The sequence below is a fragment of the Homo sapiens genome, chromosome 6 (assembly GCF_000001405.40).
Source record: "Homo sapiens chromosome 6, GRCh38.p14 Primary Assembly".
NCBI lineage: Eukaryota > Metazoa > Chordata > Mammalia > Primates > Hominidae > Homo > Homo sapiens.
The window spans coordinates 107726008-107750075 of record NC_000006.12 but is presented as its reverse complement, the minus strand read 5'-3'; the positions used below and the strand labels follow the sequence as shown (position 1 = coordinate 107750075).

General features: G+C 44.9%; 1 protein-coding gene across 11 annotated transcripts in view; it reads left to right on the top strand.

Annotated features, from left to right (window-relative positions):
- SCML4 (Scm polycomb group protein like 4) overlaps positions 1 to 24068 on the top strand; it is a 143885-nt gene that overhangs the window by 95963 nt on the left and 23854 nt on the right. For 6 of the 11 annotated variants that reach the window (XM_011535706.2, NM_001286408.2, XM_011535703.3 and 3 more), the window contains 3 exons: positions 263 to 392; positions 3187 to 3387; positions 4933 to 5127. In XM_011535706.2, coding sequence (XP_011534008.1) covers positions 281 to 392; positions 3187 to 3387; positions 4933 to 5127 — 508 coding nt within the window. In that variant the 5' untranslated portion in view covers positions 263 to 280. Of the gene's footprint in view, positions 1 to 262; positions 393 to 772; positions 838 to 3186; positions 3388 to 4932; positions 5128 to 12906; positions 13052 to 17925; positions 18103 to 24068 lie in introns of those variants that run through there. The other 5 variants (XM_047418598.1, XM_047418596.1, XM_047418595.1 and 2 more) reach the window with 3 other exon arrangements.

The window sequence follows — 24068 nt, the reverse complement described above, 5'->3', positions numbered from 1 at the left end:
GTGCTCCTGCACTCACTGCCTGACACTGTCATTTCCTGGGTGGCTCTTCTGAAAGGGTGGAATGAGAGGTGATCTGAGTGTGACCCCAAATATGAATCCTGAGCATGAACTTGAATCTGCAGCTCAGGCCCCGAAACTGCAGGATGGAAAGGTGTGGAAGCATGATAGAAGAGCAATGGTTAACTGCCGTCTAGGACAGAATCTGGAAGAGTGTAGAGAGAATTGCCAGATTCTCATTGACCAAATGGGCTCTCTCTTCCAGATCAAGTCTCGGGTTCTCATGACTCCCTTAGCCCTCTCACCTCCGCGGAGTACCCCAGAGCCCGACCTCAGCTCCATCCCTCAGGACGCAGCCACGGTCCCCAGCTTGGCGGCCCCACAGGCTCTCACAGGTAGGTCAGCAGAATGAACTCCAAGGCTGTGATGGTCTGTAGAGAACAGGGCAGCTACCATCTAATTGTTACTTTGTGGATTAAAGAGTTGTTGCTGAGATGGCTCAAATGAGCGATTTAGTGTGCTAGCTAGGCAGCAGACAGGATGACCAGAGTCTTTGAGAGCACCAGTTTATATGTCCCACAGCTTGGATTATTTAAAACTTGGTTTTCAGTGCAGCTTGGGTTTAGGTGGTTGCTTTGGTTGGAGGGAGGTGGATGACAGCGGGGCACAGGGTGGCCAGATGTTTCTTTTAGGAGCTGGGGTGCGCTGATCCATTGCACTGATCTAAGCCTGCTCACCTTAAACAGTGCTCTTGTTCCTGTGTTTGCTCTTCCAGATTTCCTAAGGATCCCATTCGCCCTCAGTCTGACCCACTACCCTCCAACCCAGTCAGGGTAGCAGGTATCCCAATCTCTGTCTATGGTGGGGCATCCACCAACTGACAGTTTCATCATAATAGTAATGACAAGCTGATGGTATCTCTCTCTCACACACACGCACATGCACACACACACACGCGCACACACACAGAGAATCCTATGTCACAACCCCAGCCCCTCTCCCATCCCATTTAAATCCCTTCAGTCCCTCCCATTGCTTTTAGATGAAGCCCAGACTTGTTAATCTGGCCGACAAGGCCCTGCAGGCTCCACCCTGTGGGTCACCCCACTGCTCTTCTCTCAGTCCCCAGGACTGGTCATGGGGTCTTAGCATATTGTCTCCCTCCATCTGGAGTGATCATCCCTTCGGGCCACCCTGTTCCTCCCTTATATCTCAGATCAAGCATACTTCTCCCCAGAAGGTCCTCACGAACTTTCCTGCCAGGGTCCCCCAGATGGGCTCTCTTAGCCCCTCCCTGTGTTTCTCACAGCCACAGTTTCACATGGTCTCACATCAGCTCATGGGATGATCTGAATAGGCTTACTTCCCCAACCAGGATGTAGGCTCTGTGAAGGCAGGGACTGCTTCATTTTGTTCAAGCTTTCTTTGTAGGGCATGGCATAGTGCCTGTATGAAGGTCTCTTATTAGATTTTTCTTATCACCTGGGATGAGACCTGGACTCTACCAGAGTGTCTTCCAAAAGACTTGATCCAAATTCCTTTGCATCACTGGCTACAGTTTTTGAGCAGTCTACTAACTTCTTTAAGCCTTAGTTTCTTCATTAGTAAATCAGTAATAATACCACCAAACCCACATGCTTGTCTTGAGACTATAGCAGGTGCTCAAAAAAACAAAAAAACAAAAAAACCTATTTCTTCACCTTTGCTGTTACTACTTAGCCTTTCCAAAATGCCACTGGTCTCCTCTTAAAGTCCCTCTTCAGCACTCCTTTGCACCAGTGGCCTCTAAGGTAAGATGCTTATGGGAGGATGATGGGGAGTGAGAAGGCAGATACACAAGAGGGGTCATTAATGTATGGAAGAAAATATAACACCTACTATTCCTATTCATCTTATCTCATCCTTTTACAATTTCTATTTCTTGGCTATGTTTTACAATGTATGCAATGCTTATTAGACAATGCTGTACCATGTCATTGAAAGTGAAGGAAATAACTTTTGTGTCTTATTTCCAAGTTTTGGATAGTTTTTTTCTCAAGAGGTCGGCCAGGGCACTCTTCATTTATTAAGGAATCTGGCTTGATGTCTGAGACAATGAAAAATCTTAAAGCAAATAGTCTGAAGACAGGCTGACCAGTTCAGCAACTGTTACCAAATTACAGGTGGCATAGGTAGTTGGGGGTTGGAATTTATTCATTGTCATAGAATAGAATGAAGTTGAACTTGTATAAACTAGGTCTGAATCCCTCACCCAACTAACTGAGCTAATTTTACTGATGATAACTAACCCTTTGGGCAGTCTTCTCTGTACAAAATCTTCCTGCTAAAAAAGGATTTATATTTCTTTTTCTCTTTAATTGCAAAATTCATAAAGATTCCACTTGATTTACTGAAATCTATCATATATGAAAACCAGTTTTGTAGACATTCTAACATTTTTATGTTTATATATATAATATTATGTAAATAACATTTATATAATATTATATTATATAAATTAGATACTTTCCTGTAAAAAATTCACCCAATACATTAATACAGTTAAGAATGTATATAACCTATAAATAAATAAACATGGTTTGGGACAGGTGCCCCCCCAATTTTTTATCAATGGGGTCTGTTACCTTAAAAGTGTGGAAACCATTGACTGGGTTCACCTAAGCGGGTTGTTGAATATTTATTTTCTCTGAGATTGTAAATAGCACTGTCTGTAGAGCTTTGTTGAATATATAGTCTCTGGAGTGATAGTGGCATCTTGATTTTTTTGTTCGTAGACGGTTAACAAAGAAATGGCAAAAACTGTCTATAGCTTGACAGCTCCTTTGGAGGAGGGAGAAGAAGTTTTGTATGTACATTTTCCCAGCATGGAAATACCTTTTTACACACGGTCCATGTGGGCCACCATAATGGTCTTTAATTCAGATTTCAGTAGATCAGAGTGGACCCACCTATCCAACTGTTTCCAACCAAGAAAGCCCCCGAGGTCAGGCCCTGGCACTTGGGGTGTCTAACTCTTTTGCCTCTTTTACTTCTTAAGTTGGGAAGAATCCACCCCACTTTTGCCCTTGCCAGCTTTCCCAAGGCCAGGGCCAAAGGGGCATGGCTGAGGCATCCCCCGTGTACACAGAGGCCGCCAGCTGGCCTGATGCGCGCCTGATGCCGAGGGCTTTGTGACCTCTGTCTCCGCAGTCTGCCTCTACATCAACAAGCAGGCCAATGCGGGGCCCTATCTGGAGAGGAAGAAGGTGCAGCAGCTCCCGGAGCATTTTGGGCCCGAGCGGCCATCGGCGGTGCTGCAGCAGGCCGTCCAAGCCTGCATCGACTGCGCCCACCAGCAGAAGCTGGTCTTCTCCCTGGTCAAGCAGGGCTATGGTGGTGAGATGGTGTCAGGTAAGGCCTGGGGCAGGTTGCATGAGGAGGCCATGGATGTCTCTCTGCAGAGGAAGCAGCCATACTCAGGCCTGGAGACAGCAGGTGTGGCCAGGGTCTGTCCTTCATCTGCTGGGCTCCTAGGGTCTTTATGAGCCTGTGAGCTAAAAGCCTCTCTCAGGGCTCAGGGAGAGGATGATTCCATGCCCGGGTAAGAAGACTGGATTTCTGATCCTCATCTTGACTCTTCTCCTTCTCCCACTTCCCACTTCCAACTCACCGGTTTTTGCTTTTTTTTCTCCACTTCAAAATATATCCAGAATCCTTTCGCTCCACTTCAAAATATACCCGGAGTCCAACCACCTTTCACCACCCACAGCAACCTCCCTGGTTCTTTAAAAATCTAAGTCAGATCATGCCCCTCCTCTGCCCTAAACCCTCCTCCAATGTCTCCCATGTCACTCCAAGTAAAAGCCCAAGTCCTTACAAAATCCCACAGGCCCTGTGTGACCTGGCCCTGGCTACCTCTTTAATTTCTTGGTTACTTCTCTCTTGTTCCCCACTCTGTTCTAGCAGAGATGACCTCATGGATGTCCTTTAGGTTCTACTCAAATGCCACTCTATCCAGGAATCCTTTTCTGACTTCTTGTCTAATATATAGCCCTTGTCACCCTCCATTCTTTTATTTATTTATTTATTTATTTATTTATTTATTTTGAGACAGGATCTCACTCTGTCGCCTAGGCTAGAGTGCAGTGGCACAATCACGGCTCACTGCAGCCTCGATCTTCCGGGCTCAAGCGATCTTCCGACCTCAGCCCCACAAGTGGCTGGGACTGCAGGAACTTGCCGCCAAGCCTGGCTAATTTTTTACAATTTTTTGTAGAGATGAATGCCTCACTATGTTACCCAGGCTGGTCTCAAACTCCTGAGCTCATGTGATCCACCTGCCTCCCAAATGCTGGGATTACAGGCATGAGCCATCACACCCCGCCTCTCTGTACTTCCTTACTCTGCTCCATTCCTTCTTCATAGCACTTACCACCATGCAGGGCAGTGGGGAAACATCATGGCTTCAACCCCATCTCAGGGCATGTCTTGTTACTCAAGATCCTTCAGAGTCAGAGAAATCCCTTTTTCCATGGTCACGGCACTCCTCCAGTTTTATCCCCTGATGTGATGTGATAGAAAGGGTACTTCACCTCTGTGGTCCCAAAGAACCCATAACCCTAGTCTAATCATGAGAAAAAAAGACAAATCCAAACGGAGGGACATTTTACCCTGAGCAGTACTCTTCAAAGCTATTAGAGTGATGAAAAACAAGGCAAGACTGAGAAACAGTCACAGACCAAGGAGACGAAGGAGACGTGACAACTAAATGTAATGTGGTGTCCTGGGTGGGATCCCCACCAGAAACAGGACATTGTGAACAAACAGGTGAAATCCAAATATAGTCTGCTTAGCAACAAAACAAAAATGAACAAACGAAAAATCCTCACCACGGCCGATTGACTTGCGGTTTTCTCCAGTGCCCGGCTCTAAGCTGACATCTCTCTGGTTTTCCAGTCTCGGCTTCCTTTGATGGCAAACAGCACCTGCGGAGCCTGCCTGTGGTGAACAGCATCGGCTATGTCCTCCGCTTCCTCGCCAAGCTGTGCCGAAGCCTCCTGTGCGATGACCTCTTCAGCCACCAGCCCTTCCCCAGGGGCTGCAGTGCCTCTGAGAAAGTCCAGGAGAAAGAGGAAGGGAGGATGGAATCAGGTAGGCCTTGTCCTGCTTCCCCCACCTGCAGGGACACCTCCCTGTCCCAGGTGTCTCTGCCCTTCCACTATGGAGGGAGCCATTGTAGCTCCTGGCAGTTCTGCCACTGGAGCCCCATGGGCTGCCTGTCTGGGTGCCTGGGAAATATTTGTAGCTGGCTGGAACAAAGGGGTGCCTGGACAGTCCCCACCCCAGGCTGCAGAGGGAAGTGGTCCCTCCAGCTATTAAGAGCTGACATTATAACTTTTAGGTCTATATTATTAGAATTTAGACAATGAGACCACATCACATCATATGTAACAAGTAAGTTTCTGCACTCTCCTCTCATTGAAACTCTGGGCATTTGTCATTGTTGAGTAGTAGCAGGACTACAAAACTAAGGAACTCATCCCAAAGAAACTAGAGCTATAGAACTGATGATGTTGGTCCTGCCTGGGAGTCTCAGACACCTACCCATGTGAATTAAAGGTGCAACAAAGTGTCTATTATTGCAGGGATTTGACGGGGCCATATATTAAATATGTCTTCCAGCAAGGGTTAGTGTTTCGTTCTCATCACAAGATGGAAAGTGGCCTAGGGGTTGAGCACCTTTTTGTACCATTAGCCACAGAGTAGCTCAGGATGGAAAAGTGGCCCTTGGGGAGGGTAGCAAGGCCACACAGGCATACATGACACAGTGTTGTCTACCCAAGGGGCTAGATGTCAACAGGAGGTGCTCCTTCTCCGCTAAGCAGCCCTGAGTTATAGATCTGCAAAGAGGTGAAGGTGAATCTCAAGGATGGGTAGAAATGTTGCTTTTTTTCTTTCTCTGAACACAGGGTTGTTGGTATATGAAAAGCACACAGGCAGTACAACTGGAATCCAGTTATTACGTTAGTCTGCAAACATTTGGTGAACCCTCTTCTGTTCCAAGCACTGTGTGAGACCCTGCCTTGGATAAGTCAAATGCATGAGCTTAGGAAAGTAGAGTAACTGCTACAAATAATAAAAAACAGATACATCTGCAGGTATGTGCTCGCAGACAGGTTTAGCGCATTCAACAAAAGGATACTTATCATAAGAGAGGCTGTGTCTCCAATTCAAGAGGACAGCAGGGAAGGATAAATTTAGATTCTCTGCATAGCTTTTCTTGGATACTATCAAAATCTTTCCTACAATTTTGCTTTTATCTCTCTGAGTCCTGGGAAACAGGAAGAAATTTGGCCTCTGCAAAGGAAGGTACCTAATTAAATATGGTTGGTGTGAGCAGATGCTATTTACTTTTATGTTTTTCTTGATGTCTCTGCATGTGTGAGCTTGGAGAAGTCTCATCTCTCTCCGGGCCTAGATTTCCTATGGGTAAATGACAGGTTGGAGTTGCTGATACAGCACGTTCTTCTGGTTCCAACAGTCTATGAATCTGGCCTCACCTGTAAACCCTAGTTGACTCACAAACATATTCTTAAACTATTTATCTTCTAGTGAGTGTTGCAATGAGAATAGCAGAATCATGTGATTTCACTTCTCAGATGCTTGCCTCATTGTTACATTGAACACACAATGACCCATGGGACATCATCATAAAGCAGCATAACCCGTATCTCCCATTGTCCTCTAATTGTATCCTGCGGGACTAGTTCTTCCCTGACTACGGATGAAATTCAGAACAAGTATTGGCTTTTCTGGCTCCTTTCAGGTTACAAAATGTTCTCTAGTCAATAATTGATATGTCCAGGTCAGGGTGATAATTGAACTTTATTCTTAGTGAATCTATTATAGGTTTTTACATGTGGTTGCCATGAGGCTTATAAAAAATGCTACAGGTATAAAAAGTTACTTTAAAGAAATTACAACTTATTTCAGATCACACAGACAAGAATAGAAACAAGGAAAAAATGAAAAAACAATCCTGCAGTTTAACTCCATCCCCCCTACAGTGGACTTTTAGTTGCCTCTATTTATATGTTTTGATATTACCTATCTCTTAAGAGATTGTTCTAGCTATTATTGCTTTTAATAGCTTTGTCTTTTGGGCTTCATACTAGTGTTATAAGTGGATTATACACAGCAATTACAGTATTAGAGTGTTGTGGGTTTGTCTGTGTACGTAATGGTACCAACAGGCTTTGTACCCGCAGTGTTTTTTTTTTCTTTCACATTGAAAAACTGCCTTTAGCATTTCTTGTAAGATGCCTGTGATGGTGGTGAATTCTCTCTGCTTTTGTTTGTCTGGGAGAAAATTTATTTACCCTTCATATTTGAAGGATAACTGCTTGATACAGTAGTCTTGGATAACAGTTATTTTTTTTCTTTCAGTACATTGAAAATGCTGTTCCATTCCCTCCTGGCCTATATGGTTTCCACTGAGAAGTCTGTTGCCAGATGAATTGGGGTTCCTTCAAATGTCATTTGCTTCTTTTTTGTTGCTGCTTTTAGGATTCTCTCTTTGTCCTTGGACTTTGAGAGTTTGATGATTATAATATATGCCTTGGGGTAGTTTTGTTTGTTAAAATCTGTTTGGTGTTCTCTGCCCTTCCTATACATGCATATTTGACCCTTCTCATCTTTTGGAAAGTTTTCTGTTATTATTTATTTGAATGAGCTCCCTACCCCTTGTTCTTGCTTGACTCCTTCTTGAACACTAATAATTCTTAGATTTTGTCTTTTGAGGTAATTTTCTATATCCTGTAAGTGATCTTCATTAATTCTCATCCTTTTTCCTTTTTTCTCTTTTGACTATATTTCCAAATAGTCTATCTTCGAGCTCACTAATTATTTCCTTTGCTTGATCTACTTCACTATTGAGAGTCTCTAATAATTGTTTTAGTTCAGCAAATGTATTTCTTAGTTTGAATATTTCTGTTTGATTTTTTTTAATTATTTCAATCTCTTTGTTAAATTTCTCTGATATATTTCTGAATTGCTTTTCTGTGTTATCTTGGAAATCAGTGAGTTTCCTTAAAACTACTATTTTGAATTCTTGGTCAGAGAGCTCACGTGTTACCATCTTATTAGGGTCGGTTTCTGGTCCCTTGCCTTGCCCATTTAGGGAGATCACGGTTTCCTGTCAGCCGTTGTTTCTTGTGGATGTGTCTATGTCTTTGCATTGAAAGAATATTTATTTCAGTCTTCTCTGACTTGTTTGGCTTTTATTGGATATATTTGCTTATAGGTTCTTTACTGCTAGGTCACTGTCTTTGGTTTTTTGGCTCTACATGGCACCTTAAGCCCAGGTTTGCCTTAGCTCTAGTGAATGATTGAAGCATTGCCCTTTCCAAATGCAGAAGGTCCCAAAAAGGTATATCCCAGCAGTGTGGGAAGGCTGGCTAGGGGCTTGTGCCCAGGGGATCTGTGGGACAAACCTACAGTGTGGTACTGCGTAACAGCCACACTGATTTGAAATCTCCCTTGGGCAAGTAACTAAGCAGAGTTCCCAGGGCTGGGGATGGTAGTTCTACCTCCCTGCTTTGTCTCTGGCTGTCCTCAGGGATATTTCTCCCTTCGGGCACTCTCAATGCTTCCTATGGATTAAGGCAAGGACAGGCCTCCTGCCATGGAAACCAAGATGGTGTGAAAGCTGGTTGTACACCTTGATCTCACTTTTTCTAGTGTAGAAACAGTGAATTGGGAGACATTTTTCTGCATGCTTGGTGCTAAGCAGATGGAGGGAGGGACTTGAACGTGGAAGTCAGATTCTCTTACCCTCTGCTCAGAGTTTTTTCATTTCTCTGTGGCCCCAGGCACTGTCTCCTCTTCATATTTGAGTTCTGGGATATTTCTGGTTATAATCTCGGTGCTGTACATTTGTTTTTGATTTTCTGTGGTGGGGACTGAAGCCAGCTTGCTTCTATGCCACCAGTTTGGAACTTGAAGTCGGCCTCGAAACTTTCAGTTTCACTCAAAGACATAATGACTGCCCCACACCCAGCTCAGGCTTGCTTCAGGCCAGTTGCCTGCAGCAATAAAGAAGGGCATGGTTGGCTTCTCCCCCAACCTTCCCCCTTTTGTTATTGCCTCCTCCCATAGCTCGCTAACCTTGATCCCCTTCACAGTGGATGGGGGAAGGAGGAGACGCAAGAGGCAGGGGAATTTGTACGTGATGAATCTTGCTGTGAGTTGGCATCATGCTCTCTGCTTCTAGCCGATGTTTAAAGCTGATTCTTCATCCTGTGGGCTTTTACATGTGTTCTTTGGTGACCCTACCATCTCTCACCTGCACTTGCATGGGCATGGACAAATGCAACTCTTCTCTAGCTGGTCATTTACAATTCTTTCCACAGTCCAAGGCCTCTGGGGGTAAATCTCTAGATTCAGCTGAAGCCCTCTCGCACCTCCAGACTGCCCTGTGGAAAGGATCTAAGATGATCCTGCTGCAGATCTATGTCTTCTGATGGCCCACATCTGGTCCTTGAGAAACACTCGCACATCCTCTGACCAAACAAACTCTGGATGTATTGGCTGATCCCTGCAGGCACCTCTCCTTTGTTCTGCCAGCCAAGGGCCATCTTTTAGAGCTTGTCTCTCAAGCTCCAGAGGACAGATCTCAAGCTATTCATGTGTTCACACTGAAGCCATGCACTGGATCATTTTCTCCAAAATTTCTCTTCTAGTTAAACTGTTTCTCCGCCTCTACAACCTCGTTTGCAGGATGGATGTGGGTGGTCATCTGTTGGTGTAAAACTGGCTTTCCACCATCTCTTTTTACAAGACCCGCATGGTGGTCTCACACTTTATTGTGGTATATGGTGTCTGTTGTCTTGCAGCTCAGCTAAAACTGAGCCTAAAATGGTTTCCTTTTAACATCTTATTCCAGGAGGATGACAGCCTTCCTTCCTAAAAGCTGATGTCCCCATCTGAAAGCTGGTTTTCCTCCCAGTCAGCTGGGAGGTTTGGAAGTAATGACCCCAGTTGTTCTCTTGAGCCCTTTCCTAGCTCATAACTACTTTGAAAAAATAAATTGCTCTAAATTATCCAACCTTGTGGCACTGATTTCTCAGCAGAGCTGAGTGCTGTGAATTTTGCTTGTCAGGGAGCCTTGGGGAAAGTGGAGGAAGCAGCGATGGCATGGTAAGCTCTGAGCAGTACCCTCACCCCACATGTCTTTCCCACCAGTCTGTCATGAGCCCTACAATGACGCCATTAGGGAGTTTGCCTTTAGAGTAAGACATTGTCTCTTTAAGATCGCCTTGTCAAAGTTTCTTTAAATAACATGTCAAGTTACCAGTATGTTAGAGGATGAATTAGTTTATCATCCATTTTCTCACCATTGTGACAAGAAAGGCATATGCATTTGTATGAGGGAAGGGTGGAGGTTTTTTTTTGTTTGAGGCTCCATACATCCATAGGACCACATTGTTCCCGAACAGGATTGTAAGGTCATGGGCTTATCTGCATCAGGACAATGCCTGGTTCTGCTTGGCCCCAGGGTTGTTCTGTTCAAGTTGAAGAGTTCCAGGATTGGTGCCATGCACCTAAAGGGCTTGTCAACACTCACTGGAACATTTCCAGAAGACAGTTAATCACATGATAAGAAGATGCAAAGCCATGACAGCTAAGGAACTATGGAAAGAACTGGGATGTTTTTGGTAGAAAAAAAGAGAAGATTTGGGAAAGATGTGATTTTATGTTCCAGTATATGACAGCAGGTCAGGTGGCTTTGTTCTCTGTGGTCCTGTAGAACAGAACTGAGACTAAATAAGTAAAAGGTAGATTGAATTAAATCTAAGGTCTTGTCCCTCAAACTCTGGTCAGGGGCATTGTTATCACCCACCAAAGCCAAAAATCTCAGTGGCCCTGCCAAACTTTCAAACAACAGATCCCCAGGTGCTTTGAAGACACATTAGAGAAGCATAGATTTAAGGAACACTCTCCCAGGTAGAGAACTTAGCAGTTAAATAACCAGATGGAACTCTCAGAAGATAGTTCCCTTGGGAGTCAGGTGGAGTTGACATTGTAAAGAGCTTTGAAATGTCAAAGCCACTCAGAATTTGAAGGGGCTGCTTGGAAGGTAGGTGATAATGATCTCCCCATTGTTGGTGACAAATATGTGTGACTTGTTAGGGTCATTAGTGGGAATGTTGGCCACCTGGAGGAGTAGGAGCAAGATGTTCTCGCTGGTCCCTTACAGGCTGACAGCTCCGGGCTGGAGGTGGCAGAGAACAGCCCTGTACAGCGGGAGGGCAGGTTACCTTCAAAGCATTAGCAAGGGCCTCCCAGAGGTGAAGGTATGGGCACCAAGACAAAGTGGCTGTATTAGAAGCAAGACCTCTTCCCTTGAAGAAGAGGGAGGGCTTCTTCCACATCTCTTCCTCAGACTTTTGAAATATAAACTCTCGATCCTTTTTTTTTCAAGATGGACTCTCTCTCTGTTGCCCAGGCTGGAGTGCAGTGGTACGAACTCGGCTCACTGCGACCTCCACCTCCTGGATTCGAGCAATTCTCCAGCCTCAGCCTCCCAAGTAGCTGGGATTACAGGTGTGCACCACCACACCTGGCTAATTTTTGTATTTTTATAGAGACGGGATTTTGACATGTTGCCCAGGCTGGTCTTGAACTCCTGACCTCAGGTGATCTGCCCGCTTCGGCCTCCCAAAGTTATAAACTCCCTATTCAAATGATATTTTTCCTGTGCTTAGGGAAAATCAGCCTTCAGGCTTCCCTGCTGCCTGAATTCAGCCTGGAAGTTAGAGTTCTTGGCCTGAGACCAGGAACTTAGTTATTTCCCTCCAATTCTATTAGCTGACATCTGAAGGTGGTTTGTGTTTGGGGAAGTAACACAGCTCCCTGGGTGTTTTAGGAGAATGGAGGCAGAAAGATGGATTTGATAACACTGGTGGCTCTGTCAGAAGTCATGAGATGACCACGGGGAAAATTGTTGTTGCCTTTGAGTGTTAAAATTTAAAAAGACCCAAGTATAAATATGCTTTAGCCAGTGCTTCTCAAACTTTAATGTGCAGAAACCACCTGAGTATGTTGCTAAAATTCAGATTTTGGTTCAGTAAAGCTGGGGTGGGGCCTGAAAGCCTGCATTTCTTTTTTTAAAAAAAATTAATTAAGCTAAATTCAATTTTTTATTTGTACAAGTTTTTGGGGTACAAATGTAATTTTGTTACATGCATAGATTGCACAGCGCTGAAGGTAGGGCTTTTAGGACACCCATCACCCAAATAATGTACATTGTACCCATTATGTAATTCTCCTCTTCCCTCCCACCCGGCTCACCATTACAAGCCTGCATTGTCTATCATTCCACAAGACAGTCTGCCTTTTAACAGGTGCCCAAGTAATACTGGTGCTGCTGATATTGGTGCAGCTGATAGGGCGGGGGCCACACCCTGAGTGATAGAGTGTGGGTGGGCTGGCAGAGTCCTGCTCACACAGAGAAACTTATTCCAAGTTTTCAGTACAGGAAGTCTGTCTGTGCTAAGATGGTTCTTCTCTGCTATAAGTGTGGCCCCTGAAGATGATCCAGTGTTGAGTGGAGGTGTTTTGTGGGCTGGAAGGGAAGAGAAGGGCATGAAGGGCAGAGTGGTTGGATCGAGGTGGCACTTGTATAAATCCAGGGGAGAAAGACAAGGCTTGCATATCTGGGGAAGAGGGTGAAAGATAGGAAAGAATGATGACAAACAAACAAATTTCTCCCCATGGCCAGCAAGCACCTGAAGCATGGTCTCTGGTGCCCTGTAAACCTTCCCCAATCCGAAGAAGGTATCCCTCTGTTCTCCCCAGATCCTTATTTCCACGTCCACAATGGCATTTGATTCTGCTTTATATTGCAGGACTCTGCATCCAGATCTCTTCTTCCTGCTAGATAGACCTGGGGGTCCCCAGCAGAGCCTGAAACACAGCAAACACGCAGTAAATACCTACTGACTTGAATTCTATGCAACACGACAGAACAAATTGTCTGCTCACCAAGAGTAGGAGATCTTTGGAAACCACAAATGTGAGAGTTGAACTATTCTGCAAGATCTAATTTAGTTGCTGGTTTCCTGCCTTTTGAAGGTTTAGCATAATGGGGACAGATTGTTTACTTTTGCTGAGTAGCTTCTTTGATATACAGATGGCAGGGGGTGGAAGATGAGAACGGACATTTATTCTTGAGGCTTACTGTTTCCTTCCTTGGCTGGTGGTCTTTGAGCAGGCACCAGAACACCCTCCCAGTAATAGTCACTCACAGTGTTCCATTACGGTTGAACCTATACACTCAGCATTGAGAAATGAAACCTGCTTCCTATCCAACAACACATTTATCTAGTAGAATAACATTACAGAGAATATATGGAGAATGTCTATCTTTACAAAAGATCATTTATTTTTAAAAGGGAACAGAGTTCATCAAGAGGCATGAGTTTCATTACATGGACCCATCCATTTAGTCAGTTGGCAGATAGTGCTGAGCTCCCCTGTTGGTAATGCAGCGAGGCGCACAGGGCCCAGGTCACTTGTTTAGAGCCACACACACAGCAAGATAGCAGCAGGGAGGAAACCGAGAGCAGGTCTTCTCATCCCCGGCCCTTTGCTTTTCCTCTCCAAGTTTTTCCTTATTCCAAGTTTTTCTGCTGTCTGTAAGGCCCGTTATCCAGCACTGGCTGCGTGGGGTGTGCATCCCTGTTTCTCAGCTCAGAGGGCTGACTGCACACAATAGATGTCCACAAGGGGCTTGTGGTACACCTGTGTTGCTTCTAGCAAAGATGTGAAAGAACAGAACAAACCCCAGCCCTCATTTAGCAAAATCAAGGAGGAAACTACACTCTAGGAAGATCAATTCTCTTCTCCTCCTGGGTTTCCTGCCTTTCCCACACGGGATGTTTTCCCCGTGTCCTTGTGTTCTGGCTACATCGGGGCTGGATGACAACCACGGGGCAGGCACAGCCCATCATTCCAGCTGCCAGGGAACTTCCTCATTTCTACAAAACCCACACAAGTAGCCTACTCCACCAGACAGTGGCAGAGTTTGATCTAGTGTTTGAATTAATATGTGGAATGATGGGTAGAAAAAGAAAAGAAATAAAGGGGGAGTTCTTGATTAATGGGTATAGAGTTTCAGTTTTACAAGACGAGTTATGGAGATAGATGCTGATGATGGTTATGCAACATTTTGAATGTATTTAATATCACTGAGCTGTATGCTTAGAAATGGTAAAGATGATAATTTTTTTTTTTTTTTTTGAGACAAGGTCTTGCTCCATCATCTAGGCTGGAGTGCAGTGGCGTGATCTCGGCTCACAGCAACCTCCACCTCCAGGGTTCAAGTGATTCTCCTGCCTTAGCCTCCCAAGTAGCTGGGATTACAGGAGCCTGCCACCATGCCTGGCTAATTTTTGTATTTTTAATAGAGATGGAGTTTTGCCATGTTGGTCAGGGTGGTCTCGAACTCCTCAGCTCAAGTAATTCACCTGCCTCAGCCTCCCAAAGTGCTGGGATTACAGGAGTGAGCCACTGTGTCGGGCCATGACTTTATGTGATATGTGTTTTACCACAATAAAAAAAACTTGAAGAAAAAAAAACAGAACTGGAATCCCCCCGCCCTCAAAAACAGAAAGAAAGGAAAGGAATGAAGAGAGGTGCGTTCCTGCAGATGCCTTTGCACCTGCTTGTGTCCCAGTGCAGGCCACATGACTGGAACATTGTGGAGCTGTGTTTGTCACAGCCAAGGGCCACATGGACAAATGAGCTGTCTCATTCTCAAGCTGAGCATTGGAAAGGAGGTCATTTGGAAGGAGAATAAACTATTGACAAGCTCTGGTCTTAAGAATCCTTGCAGAAGGTTTTGATGAAAAGGTTGAAAAAGAGGCTGAGCTCGGTGGCTCACGCCTGTAATCCCAGCACTTTGGGAGGCCGAGGTGGGTGGACTGCTTGAGGCCAGGAGTTTGAAACCAGCCTGGCCAACATGGTGAAACCGTGTCTCTACTAAAAATACAAAACTTAGCCAGGTGTGGTGGTGGATGCCTGTAATCACAGTTACTCGGGAGGCTGAGGGAGGAGAATTTCTTGAACCCAGGAGGTGGAGGTTGCTGTGAGCTGAGATTGTGCCACTGCATTCCAGCCTAGGTGACAGAGCATGATTCCTTCTCAAAAACCACAACAATAACAACAACAACAACAAAAAGAAACTAAAAAGTGTCCATCAGTTTTGTAGAAAATACAAAAGCCTTCATATTTTTCCTGACACTTAGGGCCATAGAGGCCAAGCTAGAACCCTTACACCATGGAATAGGGAGTGTTCTCCAGGGTAGGAGTCCTCATCCTAATTCTCCCCATGTGCCTATGTAAATTCATTTAGGAAAAGCTTTATATTTTCAGTGATATCTTTCATTAAATTATGATATCTGTACATATTTTAAAATATTGAACTAAAAGGGAAAAATGTAATCTCTTTTTTAAAGAAGGTGCCTCCAGAGAAAAGCCTGCATTTCGTAGAATTTAAAATGGATTCTCTATTATGTCCAGCAGTTGATTGGATCCCTTTGCATTGTAAGGCTCAGGTTCTCTCTCATGTCCTGTAGATACCGAGGAAGTTATTTACTCCATAACTATTAACCAATGAATGAATGTTCCAATTAAGTTGTTTTAATCGCCCAAGGTATCTTCAATATGAACTAGAGTAATATTGAGTCACGTTGACCCCTTTGATAAAATTTTGGTAGAAAGTAACTGTATTCAAACAAACAAACAAAAGAAGTGAACACTCTTCTTGTCTAAATCACAATTTATTTTGTGGATTAAAGATGCCAGCACCTGAGACTTGAGGAGTAGAATGATGCTGGTGGTAAACCCCTTGCAGGCTTTCTACTGTTTGGGGGTGTGGAGGAGATAAAAAGCCTGAAAAAAAGAGGCCAAATGGACTCCTTCTTCCTAGAAGGCTGACCCCAGGAATCCTCTGAAAGACACCCCTACCTCTACCCTATGCCCACTCCTCAAATAACAAAATCTACTGGAAATCTCCTGTGTTCCATGAGGCGAACAGTCCCTCATGTGGCGCCCCCACTCCTCGATTCTCCGTGAGCCATTAGAGCTGGCCAGATGGCCGGGGGTCTCCCAGCCTCTCTATCAAATAGTTGTGTCTGTGTCCACTGCAGAAGATGTTCTGTTTCTGATGAGCCTGTCCAAAGAGGCTCCTGCCTCTGACAGAAGAGTAGGTCCGGGAGATGGGCCAGGCATCTAAGTAGATCCAAGGGGTTGGAAACCAAGTTCTCTGATTATACCTCAGAACAGTGGAAGCACAAGGACTGGTGGAAACAAAGGGACAGGGTATGTGAGATGCAGCCATTCGAGGCCTCCAGGACCTGCACAGGTTGTATTAGAGACCCCTTCTGGTTATTCCCCTGGACCACAACCCTGAGCCCCTGTGGCGGACCCTAAGGTACTGCTATCTGCAGGCTACTCACACCATTATCTGTTGTCCATGCTTGAGAACTAGGGTTAGAATGGCAAACCATGCCAAGAGGAGCTGAAGCAGCTTAGGAAACCAGTAGGCTTCTAAGATGAACTTCATGAACTCTCTCCTAATAGTGGTGCTTTCTGTGTTTCATTCATAAGCAACAAACCCTTTGCTGAAAAAAACTACAACAAACAAACATAAACTCCCTGGCAGAGAAGTGGGCAGATACTCTGTACCAGATCTATCCTAGCTACTGCTGAGTTAATAATGACAACTTCCAATCTGGACATGCAGAATCAAGAGGAATGAAACGGCTTCCTTTCTTCTGTCCACAATAGTTATCTTTTGCTGTGTCATAAATTACCCCCAACACTTAGGGGCTTAAAATAACATTTAGGGTCTCACAGCTTCTGTGGGTCAGGGGACCAGGTGCAGCCACAGGCCTTCTGGTTCTGAATCTCTCACAAGGCTGCATCTCAAACCTCAACTAGGGCAGGACCCACTTTTCCAGCTTTTTCACATGGTTGTCAGCAGGACTGAGTTTCCAATGAGCTGTTGGTTTGTTGCCAGATGGGTCCCTTTGCAGAGCATCTCACAGCACAGCAACTTGCTCCACCAGAGTGAGCAATGCTAGGAGTGCTGTGAACCTCTCTCAAAGTCGAGATGTCCATTTAGAAAGGAAACTTACAAGGCGTCCTCTATTCCAGGAACTTCAGCATTTTCCTGATTAAGGACCACTTTTAATTTCCCCAAGGTTCTATGAAAGACCAAAAAATTGTGGGGGCTGTGGAGGAAACAGCGTGACCACAGGATGTCCCACCCACTTCGCCTCCCCCAGCTCTCGGGAATTCTCATAAGCTTGGCGTGGAGGTTTGGCAAAGCTGCGAGATCATATGGAGGGTGGTATGGAACCTGCTCTCCTCCCGAGAGCACAGAAAGGCCATTCATTATCCCAAACAGATGACTTTGGTCAAAAATGCCTTTGGTCAAAATTTCCAAAGGAGGAAATCAACCCCTAGGCTTAGAACAAAGTCTTAGGCAAACCAGAAACATCTGAGAGGATGTAAGAAGTTCAGGTGTCAGGCATTAAAATTATGGTCGGTTGCTGTGCATCTCATTAGGGGAGAAAAAATAGAAATGTACTTAAATGGACCAGAGGGGAGTCATAAGGTTGATTCTCAGGGCTGAGTGATCTGAACTGCAGAGACAACCTTAGAGAGAAAATCCATACTGGCCAGAGACCAAGTTAATGGAAAATTTAATTGAAGCAAATGAAATGCTCAGCCTCATAGGTAGTATGGCCCTGTGCCCTTTGAACCAGAAAGGCTGGGCCAGGAGGCCACAGAGGGCCCTAAGGGAAAACTCCCTTATCTGCAAGAACAAGGGGCGGGACTGAGTTTGAGAAAAGAAAATCTGCAAACCTCCACAGGAGCCTCAGTGAAAGGCTGCATGCAGGGGAGGAAACCTTCAGGTTTTGGTCACCAGGAAGTCCGTTAGAGATTCACAGCAGAAGGCCCCTCTGCATCCCACAGCACCAAGCACGTGCTGGAAACCGGCGGTCCCCCAGAGGACAGTGGGAGAGGCTGCCGGGTGGCAGAGACACAACCACCAAGGTAGGCACCGAAGCACCTGTGTCTGGGCTCTGAGTAAAAGAGGTGCAGCTGGCACGAGCACCTGCTACTGCTTCCTGCGCCTTCTCCCTCCTGCCCCTCTCCTCGCAGGTCTCCTTTTCCTGTACTATCTAGGTGATGGCACCTGGCTAAGCAAAGAGGGGTAGCTGCTCCACAGCTCTACAAATCTGCGAACTGCACTCCTGCCTTTTCTAATCTGGGTTTCAGGGCTAGGAATCTCTGATGTTGCCATCTCTGTCAGCAAGCCGAACCAAACTGTTCACACACGGAGGCCACAGGACACTGACCATTGCCTGGGCAGGGTGTGGGGGTCGGCAGGGCTGGGCAGACCGGCAAAGGGGTCAGGCAATCAATCCTGAGCAAGGCCAGGGCTCCCAGTCTGGAGGAAGGTGGTCGTGCTGATTGTGGAAAGGGCTCACTCTGCAGCTGCTCCCTCAACTGGGAAGACTGATGCGGGAAGTGGGGGGTGAGAGAGAGAGAGAAAGACAAACAGGCAGAACTGTTTAGAGATGACAAATAGTGTCTAAGACTAGATGTTGTGGTTCTTATTGCCTTAATAGGTATTATGTGAGAATAATTTTGCATAGTGGAATTGTTGTGTTTCAGGACTTCATTTGGTTAGTGAATCCAGGTAAAATGCCAGTTTAGTTTTTAAAAATAAAATCAATAGTCCGAGCCCACTGGGCTGTAAGCAGTTAAGCCTTGTGTCCTAAGTGAGGAGAGCTGACACTTGGTCAGGAGCATCTATAGTTTTATACATAAGGTCCGTTTTCCCCTCCCTGCCGCTCTGTTTTGGGACTTTCTCTTTCTCTCTCTGGCTCGTGGCTTTCTCCTGCACCTCTTCCTCTTTCTGCTTCTCTCTTTGGAGGTTCTCTACATTTCAGGGGCTCACACCTGACCCTCCAGGACTGTAGCAGAAATGGGCTGCACCTGGGTGTCCTGGAAGCCATGGATGCAGGGGCATTACCTAACCCTATCTCCACCCCAGGCTTCAGCAAGGATCAGGGAGCAAGGGAGGAATCCACACACTCTGGACTCAGAACCCTGAAGCTTTGATCCCTAAACCGGAAGGCTTAGGCACAGTTCAGGTTCATATGCAAACAGGTATGCCTTGAGGCTTGAGTGGGTTTACATGCTTCTAGAGTGTTCTTTGGCCTCACTAATAGGCAGGCTTTATACACAGTGGCTGGAGGGAACCATAGTCCACAAGCAGGTTTAGCGATGGTGAAAAAGGACCATCAGTCTGTCCTGAAAGCTCCCAGGACGCCAAACCTTGAAAATGTGGCAGATTTCTTTGATGGGGCCACGTGTGTGTTTTCCTTTCTATTTAAGCATGCTCTCGTGACTGTGCAAAAGGCAGATCATTCTTTTTTTCTGGAGGAAAAGATTTAATGATTCTTAAATGGCAACATTAGTCTCTTGGCTGGATGCAGAGGGTTACAGAAGTGAGTAAAAAGCCACTCATTTACCTTGCTTTGTTAAGCTGGCATTCTCCACTGCAATTAAATGGCCTCACACAGGCTGGGTTGGAGCCTCTTGTTGATGAGCAGTGCCAGGGTGACAAGACAGCTTCTTTCAGATGGAAAACGATTTTGTATGGACACAGGAGGAAATTTCGACCATGAGTGCCTTCGCCTGTGAGCCCTACGGTCTGCCGGGACTCTGTGTGCAGGAGTTAGATCCTCCAACAGGTCGGCTGGCCCCATCTGGTGTTTGCTCACCAGTCAGCCACAAAAGCGCTTGAAAAGTGGGGGTTCCCTCTCCAGATACAGACTTGGTCCTTTCTTTTTACTGACTTTAAATATTGGATTTAGGTAAGAAACATATGTCACAGTTCAATTAAATTCTTAAGCTCCTAGTAGTTCTGCATACCTAGAATTCATCTGCCTCATGTTGGATGTTGAGGTGACCTAACATGTTGGATAGTGTAAAGGGTACATGTCCAGCAGTCATGTGTTTTAACTGAAGCAAGAAGAATTGAGGCTAGATGTAAGGAGGAACTTTTAGGCAATGAGATTCATAGCACAATGGCCTCACTCTAAAGGAGATTGTAAAATCTCTTTGGGGAAGCTTTCAAATAAAAGACTCAGTTATCTACCATAGTTTCTTTTCTAGACAACACCCTGCCTGAAGAGATAGGTTGGGGCTAGCTCAATGCATTCCAAATATTAATTTACCACCTTCACAATTTCTACTGTGTCTGAGTAACACTTATAGAACTGTCTACTCAAGATATTCCTTTACATTAACTCATGTCTTTTAATCTTAGCCATTAGTCAGCTTAAGCAATCATACTGTATCAGTGAAATCATTTTGTTTGATGTGCTAATTATATGTCGTGGATGTACATTGAAATACATGACAATAAAAAAACATTTACTGGTTGTCGTAGGCTGAATCGTGTATGTTCAAATTCTCGGGTATCTGGAACCCTTTTTGGAAATGGGATCTTATTTGGAAATAGGATCTTTGCAGATGTAATCAAGTGAAAGGGAAGTCATACTGAATTAGGGCTCTAATCCCATGACTGGTGTCCTTAGAAGAAGAAGGAAATTTGGACACAGATCGTGACACACAGAGAAAACACCACAGTGGAGGCAGAGATTGGAGCGCTGTCTCCAGCCAAGGAACTCCAAAGATTGTTGGCCACCAGGGGATGCTAGAAAGAGGCCAGGAGGGATTCTCCCCTAGAGTCCTGAGAGGGAGCCTGGCCCTGTGGACACCTTGATTTCAGACTGGTAGGCTCCAGAACTATGGCAGAATAAATTTCTGTCGTTTTAAACCACCCGGTTTGTTAGTTTCTGCAATCCTAGGAAATGAATATACCCATGTGGTTCCCTGTCCCGCCAGTGGAAAGCATTTAACATTTGGGGAAATGCTGGGCTGGGTGCTTGTGAAGGTCCTTTTCCTTCCTGCCACCGAATGATGAGGGCCATCCATGCATCTGTCACTTTTACGCTTAGCTATGATGTATCAGAACCCCTCTATAGAAAAGTGCGGAAAATGCAGTTTCAATCGGGTTTGAACAGATCCATTTCATCAATTCTGGAAGCCACCACAGTGTGTGCATCTGAACGTGCTGTTCACTCGCGGCCACCCAGGAGCCACTTTACAGAGCCACATCTGGGGCTTGGTTGATTTGTCTTGACAGTTGTCCACCTGGGCAGACTTTGGAACCACCAGCACATCCTTTGCCTGGGTAGAAGGTATTGCTTGATGCCCTCCGAAGCCTATTTTCCCTTCTGATAATTCATTTGGATCACAGCCCAGAGGTTAGCTTTTATTACCTTTGATCTCACCCACGGGCATCAGTAGTTTCTTTCTTTATAATTATTTATTTATTTTTGAGACAGAGTTTTGCTCTTGTTGCCCAGGCTGAAGTGCAGTGATGCAACCTCAGCTCACTGCAACCTCCACCTCCTGGGTTCAAGCAATTCTCCTGCCTCAGCCTCCTGAGTAGCTGGGATTACAGGCGACTGCCTCCACGCTTGGCTAATTTTGTATTTTTAGTAGAGACGGGTTTCACCATGTTGGCCAGGCTGGTCTTGAACTCCCAACCTCAGGTGATCCGCCCACCTTCGCCTCCCAAAGTGCTGGGATTACAGGCATGAGCCACGGTGCCTGGCCGCTGTCAACAGTTTTGAAATCCATTCAGTGCATGTTCCCTTGTTCCCCATTCCCACACTTTGCGATAAGGGAATGATCTGCCATCTGCGTCTGTATTTTCCAACTATAGTGCCAGTCAGTGAATTATCTGCATTCTCTACCTTAGACTATCAGAACTATGTAGGCATATTTAATTTAGACTTAAAGTGTTCAATAAGCAGTGTACTGTTTTTGTTAAATCTTTTTTCATTGTTTATCACAAATCTACCTAAAGAATTTATATATAAGCTCTTTATAATATCAATTTTAATGAGTCTTCTGTGTAACGGCAGCCTTACAGCTAACATTGGCTCAAATGTTTACTCAATAAATATTTATCAAGCACTTCCTCTATTCCAGGCATCATGCCAGATACTGCATGTAGCTTCCTCACATATACCAAAGCACCTGACATGTGGGACACAAAAAGGATTGGTATCCCAGACTATGAGAACTTTCCAACAAAAGGAATGTAATGGCAGCCTTACTGCTTACTGGCTTTAGATCGTAGATAGTAGATAGTAGATGTTCAATACACGTGAGTTTTCCTTTCCCTCACTCCATTCAGAAAGCAGCCTAGTATATAGCTCCATAGCCAGGTCCTTTTTAGAATCTCCCTTCCGAAGGCTTCTGACCCAGAGGGAAGAGATGCAGCGAGGCCATCAAGGCAAAGATGTAGCGTTCCAGGGTCCTGAAGACATCTCGCAGCACTTCATTGGCTGCATAGCATTCGGCACAGAGCATGCAGACCCTTTGGCTGCTTAGGTTATGTGTGTCCTGGTGGCCAACGCCGTGTTTGTTACACTTGACTGCACGTAATTCTTGAGAATATGTTCATAGCCTCATCTGAAAAGCACTGAACTTCTGCAAACGCCTTTTAAAAAAAAACTTTATTGAGATATAATTCATATATCATACAATTCACCATTTAAGGTACCATTCAGTGACTTTTAGTATATAGATATGCGCAGCTATCAGCACAGTCAATTGTAGAATACTTTCATCACCTCAAAGAAACCTCCCACATACCCTTTAGCTATTACCCACCCCACACCCCAACCCCAATCCCTAAGCAACCACGAATCTACTTTTTGTCTGTATAGATTTGCCTTTCCTGGACATTTTATATAAAAAGAATCATTTGACATGTGGTCTCTTGTGGCTGGATTCTTTTACTTTGCATAATGTTTCAAGGATCATTCACACTGTAACAGATATCAGTACTTCATTCCTTTTTATGGACAAATAATATTTTGTTGTATGGATATAACAGATTCTTAAATTTTATTCATTCGTTGATAGCCACTTGAGTTTCTTCCACTTTTTAGCTATTATGAATAGGGCTGCTGTAAACATTCATGTACAGATTTTTATGTAGACATTTGTTTTCATTTCTTTTTAGTACATACCTAGGAGTATAATTGCTGGTTCTTATGGTAATTCTACTTTAAGCATTTGAGGAAGTACCAGGCTGTTTCCCAAAGTGGCTGCACCATTTTCTATTCCTACCAGCAGGGTGTGGGGGTTCTAATTTCTCTATGGTATCACCAACACTTGTTATCTGACTCTTTGATTATCACCTTCCTAGTGGGTGTGAAGTGGTGACTCATTGTGGTTTTGATTTGATTCGACTCATGATGTGGATCAGCTTTGATGTGCCTACTGGCCATTTGTATATCTTTTTAAAGAAATGTTTATTCAAGTCCTTTATCCATTTTAAAATCGGGTTGTCTTTTTATTGAGCTAGAATAATTCTTTTTTTTTTTTTTTTTTTTTTTGAGATGGAGTCTCGGTCTGTTGCCCGGGCTGGAGTGCAGTGGCACGATCTCAGCTCACTGCAAGCTCCACCTCCCGGGTTCACGCCATTCTCCTGCCTCAGCCTCCCGAGTAGCTGGGACTACAGGCACCTGCCACCATGCCCGGCTAATTTTTTGTATTTTTAGTAGAGATGGGGTTTCACCGTGTTAGCCAGGATGGTCTTGATCTCCTGACCTCATGATCCACCCGCCTCAGCCTCCCAAGGTGCTGGGATTACAGGCGTGAGCCACCGCGCCCAGCCCAGCTAGAATAACTCTTAATACAGTCTAGTCCCTTACACAGGTTGGTTGTATAAGTCTAGCCCCTTTTACAAGATATACAAGTCCCTGATCAAATATATAATTTGCAGGTATTTTCCCCCAATTTGTGAGTTGTCCTTTCACTTTCTTGATGGTGTCTTTTTTTTTTTTTTTTTTGAGACTGGGTCTTGCTCCGTTGCTCAGGCTGGAGTGCAGTGGCGCCATCTCGGCTCACTGCAACCTCTG